Source organism: Homo sapiens, chromosome 8, assembly GCF_000001405.40.
Source record: "Homo sapiens chromosome 8, GRCh38.p14 Primary Assembly".
NCBI classification, from domain to species: domain Eukaryota; kingdom Metazoa; phylum Chordata; class Mammalia; order Primates; family Hominidae; genus Homo; species Homo sapiens.
This window is the reverse complement of record NC_000008.11, coordinates 50,545,745-50,559,081: the sequence shown is the minus strand read 5'-3', so window position 1 is coordinate 50,559,081 and position 13,337 is coordinate 50,545,745. Positions and strand designations below refer to the sequence as shown.

General features: G+C 36.4%; 1 protein-coding gene across 21 annotated transcripts in view; it reads right to left on the bottom strand.

Moving 5' to 3' along the window:
• The window catches only part of SNTG1 (syntrophin gamma 1), an 886,897-nt gene that overhangs the window by 237,611 nt on the left and 635,949 nt on the right, over positions 1–13,337 (bottom strand). For all 21 annotated transcript variants that reach the window (NR_135796.2, NR_135795.2, NR_135797.2 and 18 more), the window contains one exon: positions 5,903–6,032. Coding sequence is in view for 16 of the 21 variants with exons in the window: in NM_001287813.3 (NP_001274742.1) it covers positions 5,903–6,032 (130 nt within the window). In the remaining 5 variants the exon portion in view is untranslated. The remainder of the gene's footprint in view (positions 1–5,902; positions 6,033–13,337) is intronic.

Sequence of the window (13,337 nt, the reverse complement as noted above, 5' to 3'; positions counted from 1 at the left end):
GCTCACCACCTGGTTGATGGTTTCAATTATACTCTAAACCTCAGCATCACAAAATACACCTTTGTAACAAACCTACACATGTACTTCCTGTTTCTAAAATAAAAGTTGAAAACAAAACAAACAAAAAAATAGAACACAGTATCTGACACATCATAGGCAAGTATTCAATAAATATTTGTTGAATAAATAAAAAATACAAAAAATTTAAAAGTACCCTGAATATTTCTTTTAGTAAATCTTTATTTTGTTGAATTTTCTTTATTTTTCTATTTGTCTGAAAATAAATTTATTTTATCAGGACTTTTAAAAAATATTTCCAAGGTATAATAGCAGTTATTTTTTTCTGATACTCTACAAATATCATGTAGTTGTTTTGTTTCTTATATTTTGTTTTCTATTAAAAGTATCTATTGCTTCCAGTTAGAGCCAAGAAGGAAAAAAAAAACACTGCAGCCATCTTTCCCACCGGTTATACCTCAATGCACTAGATAAAATGCAAAAGGCAACTAACTATCTGAGAACATTGTACAATAAATAATAGCAAGAACTTTTTTGAAAGAAGTAAAAATTGAATAATGATTAATATGGCAAACAGGAGTTTACCTGTTTTTATTTTGTTTTCCTTTCTTTTTCTTGCTTCCTTTATCTCCCAGCATGGACTTGAGGTCAAGACAAATTAAGTCATGGACAACAAACAAAAACTCTGAGAGAGCATGTCTTGCTGATCAGAGACCTGGGAAGAGGCCTCTGCGAGCCAACAGCTGTGGAAGACATCTCTGTTACTGTTCCTTTGTTTTGGTTCCTGAGCTGACTCCAAGGCCCCCCTGGCCATGCAGCTGCTGCCATGGAGCCTGGGGCAGCCGGGCCAGCTGGAAACTCAGAGAGAAAATCCACCCTCTATCTAAAGGTTCTGGAAAAATTAGTTTTTGTGGCATGAGGGATCCCCACTCTTCTCTCCTTTTCTCATGCTGTTTTCTCCAGTCATGAGGAAATGTGCATCAGTACAGGAAACTAAACTCTGAGAAGAGCCTTGGATTTCTGGAGAGAAGACCAAAGAGAGTGATGCTGCGATCCAGTAAGAGTGGGGAACTCCCACTTAGGAGTGAAGGGAAGGAGGCGATATCCCGATTTTATGTGTGAACTGCAAGAAGCTCTGGGCCCACCCCAAGCAATGCACGTGTGGAACACCCAAATGACAAAGCAAAGGCTTTGAAACTGAACTGCTATAGGAGACATTGCACAAAAATCAGACAGAACTGTCTAAATCTAATCATGTTGTTCACCTGCCAGATAGTTCTTGTGGTAGGCCAAAAATGCTCCTCCCAAAATATCCACATGGAAAACCTGGAACCAGATAAAGGGTCCTTGCAGATCTACTTCAGTTAAAGATCTTGAGGTCAGACTGGAATACCTGAGTGGGCCCTGGGACCAATGACAAGTGTTCTGATAAGTGACACACACAGAAAGAAGCAATGTAACCACAGAAGCGGAGGTCAGTGTGATGTGGCTGTGAGCCAGGGAATGCTGGCAGCCACCAGAGGCTGGAAGAGACAAGGCTTCTGCATTACAGAGTCCAGAGGGATGTATCCTGCTGGCATCTGATTTCAGACAAATGGGCCACAGAATTGTGAGAAAATGAATTTCTGTTGTTTGAAGGCACCAAGTTTGTGTAATTTGCTTTGAAATTGTTTTAGGAAATTTTGGAATTTTAGGAAACTAATACAGTTCCCTATTGCTGTGTAACAGAATACCCCAAAACTTTGTGACTTTAACTAAATATTTATTATCCTATAATCTCTGTATGTCAGGAGTCCACATGTGGCATAGCTGGGTCTTCATCCTGTTTTTTTTTTTTTTTTTGGTTTTCTCCCCTACTCTCCAACCTCTACCCCTGCCACCACCCGCCTGATACTGTAGGAGGGATCAGCCCCTAAAGAAGTGGGGGTGCATGCTGGGCCCAGCCTCCTTGCCCACCCCCACTTTCCAGGGCAGAAAGGGCCCAAGGTTATAATAAGAAGTAAATAACTTGTCTGTACAGCCTGTGCCTGTCTGAGTGGTGTGAGATGGGGTGCAGGGTAGGGGAGAGCTGGCATGGGCCTCTGGTTGGGACATCTTTGTGTGTTGAGCCAGCCCTCAGCATGTGACTGACATGTGCTGAGTCCTCAGCATGTGATTAGTGTGGGTTAGAATGTACTGGATTTCTAAAAATGCTCTCAAGGGTCATCTGCTATCTCATCTGAAGTCTTGTAAGAGAAGTGTCTGCTTCAGAGCTCACTATGGAGCCAACGCACATGGAAGGTGATCCCATAAGGGTGTAAATGCCAGGAAGTGAACATCACGGAGGTGCATCTTACTAACCTACCCATCAAAGTCTGATGATTCATATCCCTTATATATTATGCCAAATATATTTACTTATTTCCAAGGTTCCCAAAAACTTCACCCTATTACAACATTGCATATTTTAAAGTCTTCAATTATTTAATAAGAAATGATCATGGAAATAAAAATTGATAACTTTCTACTAATACTTGTTCATATAGCTGGTGAAATAATGAATAAAAAATTGGTAAATTATTAATTGGAAGCAATTACTGTTTTTTACAATTTATAAATTCTACCTTTTAGAATCTACTCAAGTCCACTTTACCTAAAATAATAGTTCACTGGGAGTGAATGCTCACCTAAAATATAGCAAATGCTCATTATGTGAGAGTTGGTTAAGAAATGAGCTGAACCCCACCCACCCCACAACAGCATAGCCTCTGCCATGCTTTGCTTTCCAATGTGAAAGCATAGAATTTAAATAAAATGAGTTGAAAGCTGTGCCAATACAGCTTAAGACAAGTCCCTAAAGCCTTCACCCTCATTCTAGTAGACATCATTTACTAAGTATTAAATATTAACAACTATTGTAAATATTTTGGAGCCACTCTGAATAATGATAAAATACAATTTTACATTGTCAGTGTTTGCCTAGGTATTTTTAGCCATTATGATCAATTATTTCTGGAAGAAAAATTATAGCAACTATAATTATATAGAATTTTTAAAAACTGGGTATGAAAATCCCTGTCTCACAAAGTTACTTTTAGAAACTAGTGAGCAAAGAGAAAAGAAAATGATCAACACATTGATCTAATTATTCTAACACAGGTTGTTTTTCGTTTTTTGTTTTTGCTTTTATCCTTCCCCTGTCTGTTCTCCAACTAGCTTTACAATAAAATGTGATTCATCATTAAAAAGTTTATATACATATGTATGTCTTATTTCAATAGCATAATTTTTAAACTGTCAAACTTATTATTTTATATGCATTTTAATCCTTTTTTCAGTTTTATTTTATGCCTGATAATCTCTTGAGTGGAATTTCTTTAAATATTTATCACAATGTTTTTATTTCTGCACCTATTATTAACAAGCTATTCAAGTCAGACTTATACAAGCCTATACTCTCAGAATATTGGCAAATAAAGAAAAAGGTCTACATCTTTCCATAAGGTGTTATTTCCAGTATATCTTTAGAATTAAAAAATAAGAGAAGTAGAACTGATATCTAACTAACCTAAGCAAAACTTTCCTAGCTACTCTTTCTGCCTAATTTCTTTCTTTATGCTAATTAACCATATTAATTGTTTCATCAATGCATTCTGCCTTCTCTGAAATCAATGTGACTTTCACATTTTTTATTGCTATGCCTAATAACTTTTCAACATTTATGTAGTACTTTCCATATCAGAATACATTGGAACCTAATACTTTTGAATGGAAACTGATTGCAAGAACAAAAGAACATGTAATTAGAATATAGAAACAGGAGGTGAAAGAAGAAATACATAACTTTTAATATGCAACAGACATATGGATCTCCAAACAGTTAAAACAGTAGTATAGGGGAATCATATGACGGTGAGCACTTATTACAAGGATGAAAAACAAGCAGTAAAATGCGGCTTGTCCCTCCTTAGGCTTACAGAGGGTAGAGACATTTGCATCTTCACTGTTTTGTTGTTGCTGTTGCTTTTAACTAAAGCATTGACTTTTCAAATGCTTGTCAGCTGAAGCACAGCATTCTAACTGAATAGACGTTTGAAGAAATATGGCATGACAATATTCCTAGGATTTTAGGTCAATGCAAATTTGGATCTAGATAAGGAAAAAAAACTTTGGATTCAAAGTTTAACATTCTGTTCTTTCAAAAGAACACAATTATATTTGTCTCACAAATATAAGTTCATATCTTGTTTTTAAGAAACTCTAATCATTTCTGTAACAAATTCCCTACTCTCAGGTATTTTTCTGTGTTTAACTCTAGAAGCATCCATATAAGTCAGTCGAAGGAGAGGAAACAATCCCTAGAGAAACATTGCATTTCTTTTCTATTTTTTTCTTTGTTTTTCAGTCATTCTGAAACCTATGCCCTCTTGTGCAACCTCAACTCTAATATGGTGACAACACCAGATTAGCAAGGGTGGGTTGGGAGTGAGAGCTCACTCTTGCCCAAACTAGACATACCCATGTTTAGCCTCCTTGTTGAGGGATGAGCCTGGGTAAGGCTTGGTGTATTTACACCTATCCTGGAACCACCAGAAAAAAAAAAAAAAGGAAAATCTGTTTTTATTCACACTGGAAGCACATTTCCACATGTATCAACCAAAAATTCAAAAGGCAGCGTGACACAGAGTTTTGAAGATTATAGAAAGAAACATATCATCCACCAAGAGTGAGGGGTAAATTGCACAGCCAATTGGAAAACACTTAGCATTGCCTGGTAAAATTGACCATGCACATATCCCATGACTGTCAACCCCATTCCCAGAGGATCCCATCACCATATGCATGGCTATTATGATGGCGTTGTTTGAAATAGCCATAGACTGGAAACTAGACAGTTGCCTTTATTGGCTAGTGGTCCTCCTGTCGTTTTAGAAAGGTATAGTGGCCACAATCCTTTCTTAGGTTTCAAAGCAAAGTCTACTCTGTGCAAGGATACTTGGATCTGAAGGGTCATTTACATAAGAACAATTTTGTGTGTTCACGTGCTGGTGACAGAGTTATATATTTCTGCTTGATCATTTGTATATTAGACTCCTGATCTCCCTTAGGACTTCTGAAATGCCTCAACATCGCATGGAACAATTGCGGACTGAGGAGAGAATTAACACAAAGGCATGGATGATGACAAGTACTTTTTCTAAAATAATTATCATTAATGATACCTAGATTGATACTCAGTAAGGTGAGGTTTGTGGTTTTGTATATTTTGTTAGACTATATTTCTCATAGAATTATTAATAACGGGGGAAAGAATTATTTAGGTTATTAAAGAGTTAAAATAATGAGAAGATAGCTACAATAAAGAGACACAGGAATGTGGAAGGAAGCAACGGTTGTAGTGGAAAGAGAGAAAATGCAGAGAAGCCATTTCTAATAATACAGACCAGGCTCTATCTAATGTGAGACAATGGCAATCTTCTGACTGTTCCCTTCAGTCTCTATGCTAACTCCTTTCCTCCTAGCCTACTACTCCTCAAACCTTCCTAGCTGCAATTCTAAGATCACTAAAGGTAAATCAATAATGCTGTCTTGAAACCCAGTACTATATTATTCCCGAATGCTTTTACTTAAATATATTTAGGGATTATATGCTAACTAGTTATTTTCATTTGCTTAAGTAATGTAGGGGTTTATAATGCTTGTTAATGGAAATCTATGTGTATTATTGAACTCATAAATTGGGCCAGAACTCTCAGTTTTCTTACAATAAGTATTCCAGAATAGCTTTCATGAATGTCTCATTCTGAGAAGAACACCAAACAGTTGATGTGAAGTTACATATATACTGAAGGATTTTATAAAGCCTGAGAAACCCTGGCTAGGTATTCCTTGAATCATTACTTACATTGTGCTTTGTGAGATTTGAAATGTTAGTTGCTATTGCTTGTAGCCAGTCAACGCAGTCTTCAGCAGAGAGGCACTGAATAATCCCAGTGCAGACCCCATCCACAGCAATGACTTGAAAGGCATTCTGCCTGCAGATGTTCAGAACAAATCAGATCAAAACCTCATGTCATTGATCTATTTGCAGCTCGTAATAGTATCTGTTGAAAAGCTTATCTTTCATACAATATAAATATCAGCCTCCAAATTCATATTTGGTTACCTGACTTTATAAGCATCTCTGTTTTAAATGAAACACTGAAGATAGACCCAAATGACATACAATTTCAATTTCGTAGGAAGCATCTTTAGATTCAGGTAACTATGGAGAAACTTTGACTTCTAAAACATACAACATGTAGATAAAAGAGAATCTAAGAAATTTTAGATGCATTCTTTTCCCAGTTTGCTATAACATTATGCGTAGTTTACTTATTATTTTGGCTACCATTGTCTCCTCTTAACATTTGTCAATGCATTTTCTGACTTAGAAAGATCGTAAAAACAGGCAATAAAATATTAAGCGTGATATTAAAAAGTCACTAGATGATAACATGAGTGGCAGCACTTTGTCCATTGTTCTCCACCCTCATTCTCAGTCTGTTCATCTTCCCAAAGATGATTTGGAACAAGAGGTTCATACCTTCTTTCCAGGTGTAAATGATCATGCTCTCCATTTGCATGGATGTTGCCAATTTCATTAACATTAAACTTTTTCTTAAAATGCTATGATCAGTCTAAGCATTCTGACAGTATTTTATTGACTTTTGTTTTTGTTGTCATAGACAATTAAATGATGCCTTTTAAAATTGTTCACAAAAGTGCTATTGAATTTAAAAGTGTTTCATATAGCTTCAATGACTTCCTTACTTCCAGATATTGCAATGTTTAGATATAAACTTAATGGACAGGAATAGATAAAATCCCAAAATGGATGGAAACTAGCCAAAGTCTCAGGCTTAAGAATTACTTCATTGTGCAACACAATACACAAACTATATTTCAATTCCAGTCAATTTTGACAGTAACAGAAAACTTTTGCAATTCAGTATTCAAAATGCTATGTAAAATGTGTAAATTTATATGTTTTCTCCAAACACCTTTCCTGGCTCTTCTACTAGACATTTTTGGATATAAAACAGAGTTTATTCCCCAAACAAAGAAAACCCCATAGAGCATGTCTGGCTCAGGTCTACTGGTAGGTCTACGCCACTCTGCCTTCCTGTCTCAGAACTGGGCACATGGTAAGGCCTTGGGCATCCACGACTCTGAGGGTTCAAATTATTAATATTTTTAGAGAAACTGGTTCTCATATCTTGGACACAGCATTTTATAATGAAAAAAGGGATGTGCTTAGATATGCTCTTTTGTTTTCTTTTGAAAATATACTAAAAGAATTTCAGAAGTATAACTATTGTCCATCTTTTTGAAAGAAAGTTAGTTTGAATTTGTGACAGCATACACATTGAATGAAAAGAATGTTATAATTTCACATGATATTTTTAGCTTTAATTCTGATGTATAATGGCAAGTATGATGTTTAAAGTATTCAGACAGAAGTTTAACCATCCATAGAAAATGAGAAATAATTGGAGTTTAGTAATACATATTTCTTTCTGCTCTCTGGTTATAACCATTGCTTCATGTACCATAAATTAAAGCATATCTTGATCATATTTGTCTTCTCTGCTTTAAATAGCAGCTAGATTTTTTAGCTAATAAAAGTCAATACACTTAGATCAAATCTTCAATCTATGTAATTATAGATGTTACATAGTGCCTACATAGAATAATTCTGAGGGGCTGATCTTTTATGAAACTAGGCTTATAAGTTAATACATATCACTTTTTACATTCTGTTTCAACTTTTCAAATATGGAAACTCTTTTATGAACATAAGTGAAATACTTGAACAGTTTTTTTATTACATATGACCTCTTATAGTATAAGTTGATCATAAAAATTACAGTTATCTGGGGCCTCCATTACTAAGTAAAGAAGGTTATTAGTAAATTAGCTCACTTAGTTGGGCCTCAATTTCATCTAAAGTGAGAACAATTTACCATACAGATTTAACAAGTATTTTCTGAATAATTGGTGGATCTAAATACTTTAATACCTGGATGAAGTTCTATGTATAATATTCCCTTGAATAATCCATCAATATGCTCTTGATTGTAATATTTCAGTGTTAAAAGAAAATGTCCCCACATAGAATTATTGTCTCATCAAGCACTAGGGAAAAACTGAAGTGCTTTTGTTTTTATTTGTAGCTTTTAGAAAATGTAATTTTTTAACTCAAGATAAACAAAAATAGTTAATATTTATTATGAAATCAATAGACTCCATTACCCATTAATTTAGCATTGTGAGACATTAAACTTTTACAGCATTAACGGTAACCTTATGGATACTCAGACAAAATTATGTGTCATATATATATATATACACACACACTAAAAAAAATTACATCACTGAAGAGTTAGTCTGAAGTTTTTTGTTCAGGCTTGTTTTTCCACTCTGCACTTATACAGCTTTCTAAAGATTCTTGGTAACTGCTCTGGCAGTAAAAAGTATTTTTAAATGTTGCTCAATCTCAAAGTAGGTTTATTCATTTAAAATACAAATTTAGTCTTCCTTGAATGAAAAATATACTGCTCACTATACAAATTCATGAATAATTTTCAACCTAACATAAGCAATCAAATAAATATATATCATTTCTAATTAATATAGTTAGTGATTCCTGTTTTGATTCATTGTTGATTTTACCCCACATGAGGGCATGTACTTTCATGCACAAGGAGCAAGAGCTGCAGAGACTAAAATGTAAAAGTTTGGAGTGACTGGAATGAGCATGAGTTCTGGAAGCTCCCCATGGAAAAACAGGCAGGCTCAGAATGAGGTGGGCTTAAAGTCTGCAAGGAACCACTGCTCACCTCCATATAGAGGGCCAGAGTGGCTAGATTTGTGTGGCTTGGGTGGTCCTATTAGACCAGTGAGGAAAAGACTGTCACTGGTAAAACTTGAGATGATATGAAACTGAAATAAACTTATATTAGTGAGAGTGAAGATGAAGCAACTTAGTTCACTTAGTTGTGCCTCAATTTCCCCTAAAAATGAGAACAATTTACAGATTTAATAAGGATTTGATGAGTAATTGGTGGATCCCGGTACTTTCACATATGGCTGAAGTTCTATGTATAATTTCCCCCTTAAAGTCATTAGAAACGATGTGATTCAATAACTGCTTTTTAAAATGAATTAAGAAGAAGTGAGTAGAATCAAAGCTACTCCACCCTATTGGGCTAAACAGTGGAACGGCTTGGTTGGGGCAGGTAAGGGAAAGCAAAATTTTTAGAGAGGAGATAATTAATCCAAAAGCAAATGTCCAAGGCATGAAAAACATAGTATATCCAAAGAAATGTGGGTTGTCTGGCACATTGTGTGTGGATCTGAAGAAGAGGCAATCCATGAAGTTGGTGATCGGACAAGGTGTAATCAGTGATAACTCACATATCTTGCTGCAATTTTTCTCTCTGATCCTGAGAGTCAGGGGAGCCAGTGGAGACATTGAAGCATTGGAGGAAAAGGATCATGTTTATATTTTAGAAATATCTCTCTGTGGGGTGAAGGATATGGAAAAAAGAGAGAATAAAGTACACAAAATGAACAATGAGAAAAATCAGTCTCACAGAGTGGCCCTGTGTGTGAGGACAGAACATTGACTCATTTACTTGATTTCATTATCACTTAATTGGTAGGGGGATGTTATTGAAGGAAAGAAAGAAATAAGAAGAGGCCCCTTGGGTTTGTGACTGTTGCATTTTACTCTGTCTTGTTGAGTGTAATCCACACATAGCAGGCCTGAGCTGTTTCTTCCCTGTGTGCACTACCTTGGTTCACTGCCATGTCATCTCTTTTAATTTTTCAGGCACAAAACCTAAGCTGTTTAGATACATCAGGAGCTTTTTCAAGTTATTTTTTGTGACTTATTTTCCAGATCTTAAATTCACCAGTTGTTTCATGAATTGAAACCACATAACTTGTCATTCCCTAAAGAAGTCCTGCACTTTTTGCAACAGCGTCTTTCTCCCCAGTACTCCTTTGTCTGAGATGCCCATCTATGCTCCTTCAATATCTCTGAGGTCCTTGCAAGTCAGTTAACACCGTGAAACTCTCTGACCCGCAGTTCCTCTGGTCGTGAAATGAAGAAGGCAACACATATTCTGCACACCTCAGGCTGTATTTTGAAGACTATCGACTGGACTTCTTAACAACTGAAGAATCCGTTAAAAATACCAGTTGTATTATTTCTACCTGTCAAAATCCATTTCAAATGTTAAGAAGTTAACTCAGGTGCCATCTATTCCATGAGATTTTCTTTAACCCATGTATTTGGAATGAATCTCTTCCACTTTAGTGCCCCTCGACTTCCTGATTCCTTTATTGCAACACTTGTTCTCTGTGGTATTAAACATGTTTGTGTAGCGCTAAATACTGTTCGATCTTACCAAGCTGCTAGCTCCTTGAAGGAAAAGCCATATATGCTATTTTATACCTCTCATAGCATTAGCACAGTGCTCGGAATCTTTAATCTGTAAGTAAGAAACAAAAACAAACAAGTCCATCTCCACTTTACTTTAGCAATCTCCTGCTTTTGCTAACTTGAGATCTGATGTTATCCAAGACAGCTCCACTGTCAGACTTGAATTCTCACATTTCTGTTCTTTAACTACACCCTCTTCCTTTCCATCACCACCAAATTACCTTATTATTTTTCTGATCTTTCTTAGCCCTTCCAATTACCCTAGTTCATATATCTATCCAGGATCTAGCTGCATTGCCTAGACTGAGCTTCCTGTTCATCCACACAAATTACGTGGTTATTTTTCATTTTAGAATTTCCTGTCACTGTGACCTCCAGTCACTCCAATCTTACTACTTCCCAGCCCTCAATAAATCCAGTTTAACTAAATGAATACCCTTTTCTTCCTGGCATAGCAGGATTCCCTGGCAAAAGTAATAAATTGTGCAAAGAAGCACCAGTACAATTGATCTCTGGGACCCCAAGGTCCTTAGTTGCTCTTGTCTACTTTGTTACCTTTCTACCCTCACAGGAGCAGGTATTACATATGCAGATGCTTACCTGGACATCATTTTATTTATCTCTTCCTGGCTAATCCTAGTCACATAACAGCTCTTCCATAATTTCTCTGTCCTTTTATTCCTGAATCCTGCCATCTCGAAGGCATTTGAAGCAGAAAGCATTGTCATGCAAATTTTGAATATCTCATGACATCAGTAGAAGCACTACATTATACACCTTTAACCTATATTTGGTTAAAATTTATGGTCTTTGAAAATATATATTCGATCATTTGATCAAATGTAATTTTTTATTCTGTGACTGAAGCCTACCAGAATACATATACTTCTTCAAGGGTTATTTCTTTTTATTTTTATTGTTCAGTTTTCCAGAGATATTCAAGCACCCTGGAATACTGTCCTCCTCTGGCTATGGCAAAATTAAAATTAATATTAATTAATAAATTCATATCATTAAATAAGTGTGTTATAATAAACTGGAGAAATGAAACAAAGAGCGACTCTTTGGCAAGATAATTTGCCCTAGATTGAAAGAACTATACAAAATTCATCTAGAATTGTTCAAAGGAAGAGTGGACTTTTCCAAAGAGATTCATATATTTTAAGGGGATTGTGGCAGTTTCTTTTTTAATCCCCTACATAATTGTGTAAGAACAAGTGAAGAGGTTTATGCCAGACGAAGGAATACTTGCATGCCTTATGGAGAGGGTCTTAATGGTATTTAGTTGATGTTTTCTAAAAATTATTTATTGCTCCTGAGTTACACAGAGACCAGTCCTTGTGGACCTCCTGACCAATCTGTGAAGTGGAATGCAATCAATTCAACCTCTGTATCCACTTTTGAGAACCACATGTAACATCAGGATGATGAAACTGCAGGGGCAGCTGCCGCATCAGACGTGGGTGCTGTTTCTGTTTATGAGCACTTTTGCCATTGAGTCTTCCTTCTCTGCCGGGCATGGTGGCTCATGCCTGTAATCCCAGAACTTTGGGATACCTAAGCAGGTGGATCACTTGAGATCATGAGTTCGAGACCAGCCTGGCCAACATGGCAAAACCCCATCTCTACTAAAAAACACAAAAATTAGCCAGGCATGGTTGTGGGCACCTGTAATCTCAGCTACTCTGGAGGCTGAGACAGGAAAATTGTTTGAACTCAGGAGGCAGAGGTTGCAGTGAGCCGAGATTGCACCACTGCACTCCAGCCTGGGTGGCAGAGTGAGATTTGGAACCAACCCAAATGTCCAACAATGATAGACTGGATTAAGAAAATGTAGCACATATACATCATGGAATACTATGCAGCCATAAAAAATGATGAGTTCATGTCCTTTGTAGGGACATGGATGAAGATGGAAACCATCATTCTCAGCAAACTACCACAAGGACAAAAATCCAAACACCGCATGTTCTCACTCATACATGGGAACTGAACAATGAGAACACATTTACACAGGAAAGGGAACATCACACACTGGGGACTGTCGTGGGGTAGGGGGAGGGGGGAGGGAGAGCATTAGGAGATATACCTAATGCTAAATGACGAGTTGATGGGTGCAGCACACCAACACGGCACATGTATACATGTGTAACAAACCTGCACGTTGTGCACGTGTACCCTAAAACTTAAAGTATAATAATAATAATAAAAAAGTCTTCCTTCTCAATTAGTAACCAACATCATGATATGCTTAAATTTTATATTCCCCTTTCCCCCTCATCACATTTTATGAATATACTCTTACATATTGTGCTCCTTTCTCTACTGTCAATATGTTTCTTCTTACAAACTTTTTTTTATCAATTTGCTTCTACAATTATTCTATCCAAAGTCATCCCCAAATTAATCACTGCTCCTCAGTTCTTTCAGTATTTATTTTCTGTAGTTGATACAATCTACTCTTTCTTCTCCTTAAAACCCTGATTGAAATAACTTCTATGACATCCTTACGTGATAGTATTTTTTCTTTTTCTTCCTACCTACTTTTTTCTGCTTCACACATTCGCTGATTGTGCTTCCTCCTCAGATCCCCCAAAATATACATTCCTGTAGGTTTCCCTCCTTCAATGAACAACCATGAATTAAGTATTTACTATAAGTCAGATTCATATTTCGCTTTATTGTTAGAGACCCATTTGCTAAGATTGTTGTGTTGTTAAAAGCACAATTCTCATAACCACTAAACTTGCCTACTGTTTAGATACTAAATTTCATCCACCAGTGCCAAACCTGTCACCATCTGAAACGTCTTCATCTCAAGGTAAACAAGTGTGTGCACTCTGGGAGA